Source organism: Homo sapiens, chromosome 19 (genome assembly GCF_000001405.40).
Source record: "Homo sapiens chromosome 19, GRCh38.p14 Primary Assembly".
In the NCBI taxonomy this organism is placed as follows: Eukaryota; Metazoa; Chordata; class Mammalia; order Primates; family Hominidae; genus Homo; species Homo sapiens.
This window is the reverse complement of record NC_000019.10, coordinates 4,731,868-4,745,020: the sequence shown is the minus strand read 5'-3', so window position 1 is coordinate 4,745,020 and position 13,153 is coordinate 4,731,868. Positions and strand designations below refer to the sequence as shown.

Below are 13,153 nucleotides of genomic sequence, written 5' to 3'. Positions count from 1 at the left end.
GGAAGGCTATTACTCTGTGTGCAGGATTGCTGCTAGAACAGGAACAAAAAATGAGTCATCTGCGAGATCGTCGAGAGACAGAGCCTTGAGATGTCACTGGGCCTGGGAAGACCAAGCTATGAGAAGGGTTGGAGAGAAAAGGAGGGGTGCAATGTTGTACTCCCCTGTAAGGAGGATGGCATTTGTGTCCAAATATGTGGGTCACAGTGTGGCTTTGCTGTGCTGATGTATAAATATACCAGGCTGACTGTAACATGGACCTTGACTCTTTTTTTTTTCTCTTTCAGACAGACTTGCTTTTGTTGCCCAGGCTGGAGTGCAGTGGCACCTTCTTGGCTCACTGCAACCTCCACCTCCCGGGTTCAAGCGATTCTCCTGTCTTAGCCTCCCGTGCCCGGCCTAATTTTTGTATTTTTAGTAGAAATGGGGTTTCACCATGTTGGCCAGGCTGGTCCCAAACTCCTGACCTCCTTAGCTGGGATTACAGGCACCTGCCACCATGCCCAGCTGATTTTTGTATTTTTAGTAGAGATGGGGTTTCACCATGTTGGCCAGGCTGGTTTTTTTGTTTGTTTGTTTGTTTGTTTGTTTTTTGAGATGGAGTCTCACTCTGTCACCCAGGCTAGAGTGCCTTGGTGCAGTCTCAGCTCACTGCAAGCTCCGCCTCCCGGGTTCACGCCATTCTCCTGCCTCAGCCTCCCGAGTAGCTGGGACTACAGGTGCCCGCCACCACGCCCGGCTCATTTTTTGTATTTTTTAGTAGAGACGGGGTTTCACCTTGTTAGCCAGGATAGTCTCGATCTCCTGACCTCATGATGTGCCCGCCTCGGCCTCCCAAAGTGCTGGGGTTACAGGCATGAGCCACCACTCCCGGCCTTTTTTTTTTTTTTTTTTTTTTTTAGGCAGAGTCTCGCTGTGTCGTCAGGCTGGAGTGCAGTGGCGCGATCTTGGCTCACTACAACCTCTGCCTCCCGGGTTCAAGCAATTCTCCTGCCTCAGCCTCCTGAGTAGCTGGGACTACAGGCGCGTGCCACCATGCCCAGCTAATTTTTTTGTATTTTTAGGAGAGACGGGGTTTAACCATGTTGGCCAGGATGGTCTCAATCTCTTGACCCCGTGATCCACCTGCCTCAGCCTCCCAAAGTGCTCAGATTATAGGCATGAGCCACCGCACTTGGCCGCAGGCTGGTCTTGAATGCCTGACCTCAGGTGATCTGCCCACCTCGGCCTCCGAAGTGCTGGGATTACAGGTGTGAGCCACCGTGCCCGGCCTGACTACTTTTTAAAATTTTTGGTAGAGACAGGGTCTCCCTATGTTGCCCAGGCTGGTCTCAAGCTCATAGGCTCAAATGGTCCACCCACCTTGGCCTCCCAAAGTGCTGGGATTCCAGACATAAGTCACCATACCTCTGTCTCTTTTTTATCTCTCTCTCTGTCCCTTTTTTGTCTCTGTCTCTTTTTTGGATTCGCTCTCTCTTTCTTTCTCTCTCTCCCTCCTGCCTGCCCCTGCTGCCTCCCTGTCTCTCTTCCTGCCTCGGTTGTCCCTGGCCATCTCCCTGGTGATCTGTGAGTCTGCACCTGTCTGGTTCTTTTCCTGTCTGTCTCTCTGCCTGTTTCTCTCTCCCACCCCCCAAACATCTTCTCTCTCATTTCCCTGTCTTCCTCCTCCTTGCCTGGTCGTTAGTCTCTCTCTATCTCTGTCTCCACCCCATTTTCGCTCTCAGTCTATCTCTGGCTCTGTCTCTCCCTCTCCTCTCTGTCTCTTGTTCCCTTCCTGCCTCCAACCGACCTGTATGTGAATCTCTGCTGTGTCCCTCCCCTCTGGCCTTGGTCTGTGTCTGCAGGGCCCTCCCTCCCTGCTCCCCATCCCTATCCCTGCCAGGAGGAGGAAAACGCAGCCCTGCAGAGCGAGCAATGCCCCCCTCCTTGGTTACCAGGGCGCTGGATGGGGGACAGCATGCGGCTCATTACCCTAATGGCTGGTGAGGCCACCCAGCCTCCCAGGAAATGGGCCACTTAAGCGTGTTCCAGCTGATGGCAGAGGCTGCTTCTCCCCTTGTACTCGGCAGGGAGAGGGGACCAAGGGGGAGAGGAGGGGAGAAAGGGGGAGGAAAGGAGAGGAGGAGAGGGAACGGAGGACTGCAAGGCTGGTGGGGACTCATCTCCACTTATGAGCTCTTCAGGCCTGGGTGTGTCCTGAGAACATGCACCAGGCTGGCTGGGGGCTGGGGGAGGCTGGGCCCCAGGGGCTTCTTCTAAATGCACATGTACCTGCCACTCAGAGTCACCACAGGGCCACACACACTGAAAATCACAGACACCCCCTACGGCTCAGACAGCCCCTGAGCTCTCTCCTGTCCCCCTAGGTCCCCTGGACACAGCCCTGCAGGGTCACACAGGCATGTGCCAGAGCCACACACACACACACACACACACACACACACACACGCACGCACGTGGCCGTGGAGCATGACTGTCTCTCTGGAGGACGCCCAAGGCCACGTGCAACAGCCTCGGGACAGGATTCGGAGCACAGAGGCCCGACACACCCCAGCCACAAGCTCGGCCGTGCACTTTCAGATGGTCACGGGTTCACACACACACAGACACACACGCAGGGTTACAAGTACAACCACACAGGGGACACGAACGTACCTCCACATGCCCACGAACATGCCCACACACACACACAAATGTAGCCACGAAACACAGTCACAGAAGCGCAGATCATGACATACACTCCCACTGCCACACACGGTCAGGCTGGAACAGTTGTAACACCAGAACATTCCAGCAAACTGGGCTTCACACACAACACAGAGGCACTCAGAGGCCGGGCGTGGTGGCTCACGCCTGTCATCCTAGCCCTTTGGGAGGCCAAGGCAGGCAAATTGCTTGAGCCCAGGAGTTCAAGGTTGCAGTGAGCTATGATTGCGCCACTGCACTCCAGCCTGGGCAACAGAGCAAGACCCATCACAAAAATAAAAAATAAAAGATACACTCTTGGTGTGAGTATATGTGATTTATATGATAGACAATAGATACATATTACTATACATTATAGAATACTCTAGCTAATACTCTACATATGTACTATATATAATATAAAATAAATGGAATATATTCTTGACCAGCCTGGCCAACATGGCAAAACCCCATCTCTACTAACAATACAAAAATTAGCCAGGCATGGTGGTGGGCGTCTGTAATCGCAGCTACTCTGGAGGCTGAGGCAGTAGAATCACTTGAACCCGGGAGCTGGAGGTTGCAGTGAGCTGAGATCATGCCACTGCACTCCAGCCTGGGGTATAGAGTGAGATTCTATCTCCAAAAAAATAATAAGAAGAATAAAAATAATAATAATAATAATAATAATAAATAAAATACATTATTTTCTTTTCCTTTTTAATTTTATTTACTTATTTATTTATTTTTAAGACAGAGTCTCACTCTGTCGCCCAAGCTGGAGTGCAATGGCATGGTCTTGGCTCACTGCAACCTCCACCTCCCAGGTTCAAGCGATTCTTCTGCCTCAGCCTCCCGAGTAGCTGGAACTACAGGTGCTCGCCACCACACCCGGCTAATTTTTGTATTTTTAGTAGAGACGGGGTTTCACCATGTTGGCCAGGCTGGTCTCAAACTCGTGCCCTGCCCACCTCGGCCTCTCAAAGTGTTGGTATTGCAGGCATGAGCCACTGTGCCGGGCCAATTTTTTGATGTTTTGTAAAGACAGGATTTTGCCACATTACCCAGGCTCTACAATGCAATTCTGACATTAACCGCCTGGGGTTATAACAGACTCAAGTTATGGGCACAGTCCCTAACAAGGCTGTCCTCGTCACCAGGAGCAATGGCTCATGCCTGTAATCCCAGGACTTTGGGAGGCCGAGGCAGGAGGACTGAACCCAGGAATTTGAGACCAGCCTGGGCAACGTAGCAAAACTCCACCTCTAAAAAAAAAAAACAAAAATTAGCTGTGTGTGGTGCTGTGCACCTGTAGTCCCAGGTAGTTGGGAGGTTGAGGCAGGAGGATCACTTGATCCTGGGAGGTTGAGGCTGCAGTGAGCCATGATTGCATCACTACACTGCAGCTTGGGCAACAGAGTGAGACCCTGTCTCGGAAAGAATTTTTTTAATTAAAAACACAAGTCAGGCCTGGCACGGTGGCTCACGCCTGTAATCCCAGCACTTTGGGAGGCCGAGGCGGGCGGATCACTAGGTCAGGAGATCGAGACCATCCTGGCTAACATGGTGAAATCCCGTCTCTACTAAAAATACAAAAAATTAGCCAAGCATAGTGGTGGGCGCCTGTAGTCCCAGCTACTCAGGAGGCTGAGGCAGGAGAATCGCTTGAACCTGGGAGGCGGAGGTTGCAGTGAGCCGAGATCGCGCCACTGCACTCTAGCCTGGGTGACAGAGTGAGACTCCGTCTCAAAAACAAAAAACAAATAAGCAAAAAACCCCACAAGTCAGAGGCCAGTCACAGTGGCTCACGCCTGCAATCCTAGCGCTTTGGGAGGCTGAGGAGTGAAGATACCTTGAGCTCAGGAGTTCAAGACCACCCTGGGCAACATAGTGAGACCCCATCTCTGCAAAAAATTAAAAAAAAAAATTAGCCAGCGATGATAGCATGCACCTGTAGTCCCAGCTCCTCAGGAGTGTGAGGCAGGAGGATCTCTTGAGGCCAGGAGGTCAAGACTACAGTGAGTTATGATCTCACCACTTCACTCCAGCCTGGGCAACGAAGTGAGATCATGTCTCTAAAAAAACATTTAAAAAGTAACAAAACAAGTCAGAAACAGCCAAACAAAGAGACACATAGGACAAAGTCTGGGAGGGTCCCCAAAAGAGCTTCCATGTCTTTTTTTTTTTTTTTTGAGGTGGAGTCTCTCTCTGTTGCCCAGGCTGGAGTGCAGTGGTGTGATTTTGACTCACAGCGTTCCACCTCACAGGTTCAAGTGATTCTCCTGCCTCAGCCGCCAGAGCTTGGACTACAGTTGCCCGCCACCACACCCAGCTAATTTTTGTATTTTTAGTAGAGATGGGGTTTCACCATGTTGGCCAGGCTGGTCTCGAACACCTGAGCTCAAGTGATCCTCCCACCTCAGCCTCCCAGTGTGCTGGGATTATAGGTGTGAGCCACCGTGCCCGGCCCCATGTCCTCTTCTTGAGGCATTAGAGTGTGTCTCCTCTCCTGGAAGAACATCAATATGTTCACCAATCAGGAAGCTCCACCAAGCTTTGGGGTCCAGAGGTTTTATTTGTTTGTTTGTTTGTTTGTGAGGAAGTCTCACTCTGTCGCCCAGGCTGGAGTGCAGTGGCACAATATCGGCTCACTGCAACCTCCCCCTCCCAGTTTCAAGCGATTTTCGTGCCTCAGCCTCCCGAGTAGCTGGGATTGCAGGTGCATGCCACCACGCCCGGCTAATTTTTGTATTTGTAGTAGAAATGGGGTTTCACCATGATGGCTAGCTTGGTCTCGAACTCCTGACCTCAAGTGATCCGCCTGCCTCGGCCTCCCAAAGTGCTGGGATTACATGCATGAGCCACCGTGCCCAGCATGCCCAGATAATTTTTAAACTTTTAGTAGAGACTGGCCGGGCGCAGTGGCTCACACCTGTAATCCCAGCACTTTAGGAGGCTGCAGCGGGCAGATCGTGAGGTCGGGAGATCGAGACCATCCTGGCTAACACGGTGAAACCCCGTCTTTACTAAAAATAGAAAAAATTAGCCAGGCGTGCTGGCGGGCGCCTGTAATCCCAGCTACTCGGGAGGCTGAGGCAGGAGAATCGCTTGAACCCAGGAGGTGGAGGTCACAGTGAGCCAAGACCACACCACTGCACACCAGCCTGGAGACAGAGTGGGACTCCATCTCAAAAAAGAAAGAACAAGAAAGGGAGGAGGTCTAGAGGTGGGGCTCACAGAGGAGGGGGAGTTCCTTGGAAGACGGGGAGCGGGGGTTAGATTAGAGAGGAGATGGGGAAGGGAGGGTGCCTGGGGATTGGAGACTCTCTGTGGTGAGGCCTTAGGCAATCCTGGAGGGCTTCCAAGAGGTGTGGCTGGCCTTCCCTCAGGATGCTACTGGAAGTGGCCCCGTGAGCAGTGGCTAACAGAGGGACAGAACAGCTGATGCTTGTTGACCAAGGAACACCAGCCAAGGGCCACGGGAGAGGTAGGAGGAGTGCTTGCTGGGTGGGTCCCACTGTCTCTTCTTCTCCTGGGGGGCTCCTCTTGCTCTTCCAGGGCAACCCCATCTTTCTAATCAGGCATGGGGGGCAAAGGGTAGTGTGAGGAGGAAGAATAGAACCCCACCCCCTTCAATATTTGGGGGGTCCACGATGCCCCCACAGCCTGTCTCTCCACACAGATCTCTGTGGACCTGGGCACCCCTCGCTGGCACCTCCCTACCCTGGTTCATGTGGTCCCCCTCCCCCCTCTTCTCCCACCTCCTGTCCCAGCCCACTGGGCCCCCTGCTATCTTTAATTGGCCTTCGTGGAGCTGAATTCATTGAGACTCTGACAGCTCTTTAGGGTGGTGGGGAGGGGGTGGTCAGGCCGCAGCTTCCCCGCCTCCCTGCCTGGCTAATTCGGGGGCTCTATTGTCAAGAGGCACCCCCCATCCCCCTCTCCACTCCCCTCCGCCGTTGGATTGCTTCCACAGACAATGCCGAGAGCTCGACATCCTGAAGGGCCAGCGGCTGTAATTTCGTCTAATTCAGCCCAGGAGACAGCAATTACAGCTAATAAACGGGCCCCTAATCAGCTATCTCTCCCACCCCCACCCCTGCCACCCAGCTCTCCTCTCCTCTGGGGAGCCCTCCCTTCCCCCCAGCTAGGGGAAGGAAGGAAAGAATAGAACAGCTCTGCCCTCAGAGTATCAGTTTTGCCTTCTAGGAAATGGGCATAGCATTGAACCCTGCCAGGGGATTGCATGCCCAGCTGCACCATGGTGGCATCTGCAAATCAGACTACTGCCCCTGTTTTAACTGGAGACACCTCTGGCCTCACCCCTTCCTTGGCTATCCCCTCCCTGTCATTCTCTCTCTGTCTCTCTCTTTTTTTTTTTATTTTCTTTTTTTTTTTTTTAGGGACAGGGTCTTGCTCTGTTCCCAGGCTGGAGTGCAGTGGTGCGATCAAAGCTCACTGCAGCCTCAACCTCCTGGGATCAAGTGATCGTCCTGCCTCAGCCTCCCAAGTGGCTAGGACCACAGGTGTGTGCCACCATGCCTGTCTCATTTTTTTATTATTTGTAGAGCACCGGGCCTTGCTATGTTGCCCAGGCTGGTCTCATACTCCTGGGCTCAAGCCATCCTCCCGCCTCAGCCTCCCAAGTAGCTGGGACCGCAAGCGAACGCCACTATGCCAGTGAATTTTTTGTAGAGATTGGTCTCACTGTGATGCCAGGCTGATCTTAACTCCTGGGCTCTAGACATCCTCCTGCCTTGGCCTCCCAAAGTGCTGGAGCTATAAGTGTAAGCCACCATGCCTAGCCGATGGTGTGTGTGTATATATATATATATATATATGTGTGTGTATATATGTATGTGTGTATATATATATGTGTATATATATGTATATGTGTATATATGTATATATATGTATATGTGTATATATATGTATATATATATGTATATGTGTGTGTGTATATATATATATATATATATATATATATATTTTTTTTTTTTTTTTTTTTTGAGATGGAGTCTTGCTTTGTTGCCCAGGCTGGATTGCAATGGAGCAATCTCGGCTCACTGCAACCTCTGCTTCCCAGGTTCAAGCCATTCTCCTGTCTCAGCCTCGCAAGTAGCTGGGACTACAGGCGTGTGACACCACGCCTGGCTAAATTTTGTATTTTTAGTAGAGACAGGGTTTCACCGTGTTGGCCAGGCTGGTCTCAAACTCCTGACCTCAAGCGATCCACCCACCTCGGCCTCCCAAAGTGCTGGGATTACAGGCGTGAGCCACCACACCTGGCCTTAGTGGTTTATATTTTTAAAACTTATTTTAGAGACAGAGTCTTGCTCTGTTGCCCAGGGTGGAGTACAGTGGCACAAACACAGCTCACTGCAGCCACAACCTCTTGGGCTCAAAGGATCCTCCTGCCTTGGCCTCCCAAAGGGGGACGGCGGAACGAGGCTGGTCTGTTCCAGACTGGGTACCAGAAAGGAGTTCCACCTATAGGAATGTGGGGAGAGCTAAGGGAAACCAACCACAGGGGTGCAGCCTGCAAGGCCAGCAACACAGGGAAGCCTCACCACCCATGGTGGGTCATAGGGGCTAGGGGCCGCTGGAGGGGAGCTGAGGGCCAGGCCAGGCTCTCTCCCCCTTGGCAGTGTGGACATTTAGGCCTGGGCCATCCTGTGGGGTGGGGGCTGCCCTGGACAGTGCAGGATGCTGAGCAGCATCCCTGGACTCCACACACTCCATGCCAGGGGCACCCACCACAAATGTCCCCAGACATGGCCAAGTGTCCCCTGTGGGGGGACAGAATCACCCCCAGGTGAAACTCACTGATATTAAGTGATAATGTGGACACAGGACACAGCCCTCATAGAGAAACAGGTTTGTGTTTTGACCCTGCCCCTATATGAGTGATTTGGGGCAAATTTCAGTGATTGGGGCATGTGTCTCTGCTCCCAGCTACTCAGGAGATTGAAGCATGAAGATCACTTGAGCCCAGGAGTTCCAGGCTACTGTGAGCCACGATCACACCACTGCACTCCATTCTGGGCGACAGAGCAAGACCCTGTGTATAAAAAGAAAAAGAAAAAAAAAAAAACCCAAACAAACAAACAATAATATTAATCACACCTCATAGGGTGGTTGCCGAGGATTAAATTCTTTTTTCTTTTTTTTTTTGAGATGGAGTCTCACTCTGTTGCCCGGGCGGGAGTGCAGTGGCACCATCTCGGCTCACTGCAAGCTCCACCTCCCGGGTTCACACCATTCTCCTGCCTCAGCCTCCCGAGTAGCTGGGACTACAGGTGCCCACCACCACGCCTGGCTAAATTTTTTTGTATGTTTAGTAGAGTCGGGGTTTCGCTGTGTTAGCCAGGATGGTCTCGATCTCCTGACCTCATGATCCACCCGCCTCAGCCTCCCAAAGTGCTGGGATTACAGGCGTGAGCCACCGCGCCCGGCCAGATTAAATTCTTTAGTGCTTGGGGGGCTTTGAGAAATGTTATCTGCTGTTAAGGTTGTAGTTATTATAGTACCATGTATGATAGATTTAAACACCCCCAAATGGCAGTAATCTTAGAGGACCGTGTTAGCAGGGGCTGCAGACAACAGGCATCGTTTCATAAATCAATGAAAATTACAAAGATGTAGTACAATGAGGGCTTCCCGGGTACTTCAAATCTCCCTGGCCGATCCATCGAAGAATTGCCACTGTGGCATTGAGAATAAATGGGATTATTGTAGATATGATGCTGAGGGAATAAATATTTAATTTTTTTTTTTTTTTCTGAGACAGAGTTTCACTCTTGTCGCCCAGGCTGGAGTGCAATGCTGCAATCTCGGCTCACCGCAACCTCTGCCTCCCGGGTTCAAGCGATTCTCCTGCCTCAGCCTCCGGAGCAGCGGGGATTACATGCATGTGTCACCAGGCCTGGCTAATTTTGTATTTTTAGTAGAGATGGGATTTCTCCATGTTGGTCAGGCTAGTCTTGAACTCTCAACCTCGGGTGATCCACCCGCCATGGCCTTCCAAAGTGCTGGGATTACAGGCGTGAGCCACCTTGCCCAGCTCATTTAATTTAAATGTATTTTTTTTTCAAAGGCAAACATTCCACTCAGTTGAAATACTACTGTTGAAGAGGCCAGGGAGGGCGAGAAGTGAGTGAGATGGTTTCTGGAATCGCTGTCTTTCTCTCTATTTCTCTCACTCCCTCTCTCCTCCCTTTCATTCTCTTTCTCTCTCTGTTTCTTTCTCTCTTTGTTCCTTTTTTTTTTTTTTTTTGAGACAGGGTTTCGCTCTGTCACCCAGGCTGGAGTGCAGTGGTGTGATCTTGGCTCACTGCAACCTCCACCTCCCAGGTTCAAGCTATTCTCCTACCTCAGCCTCCTGAGTAGCTGGGACTACAGGCGTGTGCTACCACGTCCAGCTAATTTTTGTATTTTTAGTAGATATGGGGTTTCACCATGTTGACCAGGCTGGTCTTGAACTCCTGGCCTTAGGTGATCTGCCTGCCTCAGCCTCCCAAAGTGCTGGGATTACAGGTGTGAGCCACCATGACCGGCACCCAGCCCCCCACTTTATTTTTTTGAGACAGGGTCTCACTCTGCCACCCAGGCTGGAGTGCAGTAGTGGTGCAATCATAGCTCACTGCAGCCTCAGCCTCCTGGACTTAAGCGGTCCTTCCACCTCAGCCTCCTGAGTAACTGGAACTACAGGTACATGCCACGATGACGGGCTAATTTTTGTATTTTTGGTAGTGACAGGGTCTTACCCTGTTGCCCAGGCTGGTCTTAAACTCCTGGCCTCAAGCGATCTTCCCTCCTCAGCCTCCCAAAGTACTAGGATTACACGTGTGAGCCACTGTGCCTGGCCCCATGACCCTTTTAAGGTCCAGGCTGGTTCTTCTACTGGCTGGTTCAATTCAATGGTCTTTTATTATATCTTATTTTATTTTTAATTACTTTGATTACCTTGAAATTCATCTGTGTTGAATGCAGTCTCATCATGCACCATGGACTTTGGAGCCTGACCACCTGGCTTTGAATCCCAATACTGCTACTCATGATCTGGGTGACCTTGGTTGAGTTACTTAACCTCTCTGTCGCTCCCTGAGCAGGTTAAATTAACCTCCCTGTCCCTCTGTCTTCTCACCCATTAAAAGGGCAATGATGATTCTGGATAGCACCTGCATAATGGGGTTGTTGGGGGAACTAAATGAGTTTAAAGTGTAACCATTCTTTTCTTTTCTTTTCTTTCTTTCTCTCTCTCTTTCTTTCTTTCTTTTCTTTCTTCCTTTCTTTCTTTCTCTTTCTCTCTCTCTCCCTTTCTCTTTCTTTCTCTTTCCCTTTCTCTCTTTCTTTCCCTTTCTCTCTCTTTCTTTCCTTTTCTCTTTCTTTCCCTTTCTCTCTCTTTCTTTCTCTTTCTCTCTTTCCCTTTCTCTCTCTTTCTTTCTTTCTCTTTCTCTCTCTCTTTCTTTTCCTTTCTCTCTCTTTCTCTCTCCCTCTCTCTTTCTTTCCTTCTGTGGGATCTAACTCTGTTGCCCAGGCTGGGATGCAGTGATTCAATTATAGCTCATTTTCAGCCTCAAACTTCCAGGCTCAATCAATCCTCCCACCTCAGCCTCCTGTGTAGTGGGGACTATAGACACTCACCACCATGCCCAGCTAAGGTTTTTTTTGTTTTGTCTTGTTTTGTTTTGTTTTGTTTTTGCTAAGACGGGGGTCTCACTATGTTATCCAGACTGGTCTTGAACTCCTGGGCTCAAGTGATCCTCCCATCTCAGCCTCCCAAAGTACTGAGAATACAGGTGTAAGCCACTGTACCTAGGCAAAAAGTGACATTTTCTTAGAACAATTTTCAATACAGATTTCCGCTATTCCATGCAAAGTTATTCTTGAACACAAACATTTGTATGAAATGTTTCCTGGCTGGAAACATTGAATCCCTATGTACTTTCCTTCTTTTTTGAGATGGAGTCTCGCTCTCGTCGCCCAGGCTGGAGTGCAGTGGCACGATCTCGGCTCACTGTAACCTCGGCCTCCCAGGTTCAAGTGATTCTCCTGCCTCAGCCTCCCAAGTAGCTGGGATTACAGGCGTGAACAATCACACCCAGCTGATTTTGTAATTTAATAGATACGGGGTTTCGCCATGTTAGCCAGGCTGGTCTTGAACTCCTGACTTCAAGCGATCCACCCGCCTCAGCCTCCCAAAGTGCTAGGATTACAGGCATGAGCCACCGCACCCAGGCCCTAGGTACCTTCCTTCTTTTATTGCTCTTTCCTCTTCTCTGCAGCCCTTGCTGAAGTTTCCTGGTGTGATCGGACACCAGGTAGGACAGGCCACCAACCATGCCTGCTGCGAAGGCCTGCCTGGGGACAGGAATTTGTCTGCAAATACAAGGGTGTCTACTGAGGGAGGGAAGTGTCTGAATTTGAGATGCTGAGGTCTGGGGCCCGGAGTGGAGATGGAGAGGATGGGACGGGGGTGGTTACGGGGGTAGGGGTGGAGAGATGCCGAGTGAGGCCAGCTGTGCTTCTGCTGACACCTAGTGGAAAGAGGGAACTATTGTTCCTTTTAAACAAGCCGCCTCTGTGAAGTAGCCACCTCTGAAACATCTACCTGACTTCAGGCAGGCAAATAGGCACTGAATGGTGTAACTTGCCAGGAGTCGCACAGCATGTTGGCTGCCCTGAGAGAGCTTCAAGGACCCAAGAAACCATTTTATTTTATTTTTATTTATTTTTATTTTTTGAGACGGAGTCTCGCTCTGTCGCCCAGGCTGGAGTGCAGTGGCGGGATCTCGGCTCACTGCAAGCTCTGCCTCCTGGGTTCGCGCCATTCTCCTGCCTCAGCCTCCCGAGTAGCTGGGACTACAGGCGCGGCCACCACAGCCGGCTAATTTTTTGTATTTTTAGTAGAGACGGGGTTTCACCGTGTTAGTCAGGATAGTCTCGATCTCCTGACCTCGTGATCCGCCTGCCTCGGCCACCCAAAGTGCTGGGATTACAGGCCTGAGCCACCGCGCCCGGCTGATTTATTTTATTTTGAGGCAGAGTCTCACGCTGTGGCCCAGGCTGGCGTGCAATGGCGCGATCTCGGCTCACTGCAACCTCCGCCTCCCTGGTTCAAGCGATTCTCCTGCCTCAGCTTCCCAAGTAGCTGGGATTACCGGCGCGCGCCACCACGACTGACTAATTGGCGTATTTTTGGTAGAGGAGGGGGTTTTACCACGTTGGCCAGGTGGGTTTCAAATTCCTCACCTCAAGTGATCCGCCCACCTTGGCTTCCCAAAGTGCTGGGATTACAGGCATGAGCCACCGCGCCCGGCCCCAAGAAAAAGTTTTAAAGGAGTGTTTGGTTTGTTTGTTTGGTTGGTTGGGTTTTGGCAGATTAATGAGTTCTCAGGCCTTGATGGGGCTTCTGGGGGAGGTAACATGTTCTCCCAGGTTCGCCCCCTCCACCAGGAAGTCCACC

The 13,153-nt window shown here is 51.0% G+C and overlaps 3 annotated features.

Moving 5' to 3' along the window:
* Positions 1,808–2,408: an enhancer, noted in NCBI's record as "H3K4me1 hESC enhancer chr19:4742625-4743225 (GRCh37/hg19 assembly coordinates)". NCBI's record gives its function as "activates a minimal SCP1, AML or CMV promoter by ChIP-STARR-seq in primed H9 embryonic stem cells {active_cell/tissue: H9 hESC(primed)}" and the evidence as "EXISTENCE:reporter gene assay evidence [ECO:0000049][PMID:30033119]".
* Positions 5,992–6,492: an enhancer, noted in NCBI's record as "H3K4me1 hESC enhancer chr19:4738541-4739041 (GRCh37/hg19 assembly coordinates)". NCBI's record gives its function as "activates a minimal SCP1, AML or CMV promoter by ChIP-STARR-seq in naive H9 embryonic stem cells {active_cell/tissue: H9 hESC(naive)}" and the evidence as "EXISTENCE:reporter gene assay evidence [ECO:0000049][PMID:30033119]".
* Positions 6,493–6,993: an enhancer, noted in NCBI's record as "H3K4me1 hESC enhancer chr19:4738040-4738540 (GRCh37/hg19 assembly coordinates)". NCBI's record gives its function as "activates a minimal SCP1, AML or CMV promoter by ChIP-STARR-seq in naive H9 embryonic stem cells {active_cell/tissue: H9 hESC(naive)}" and the evidence as "EXISTENCE:reporter gene assay evidence [ECO:0000049][PMID:30033119]".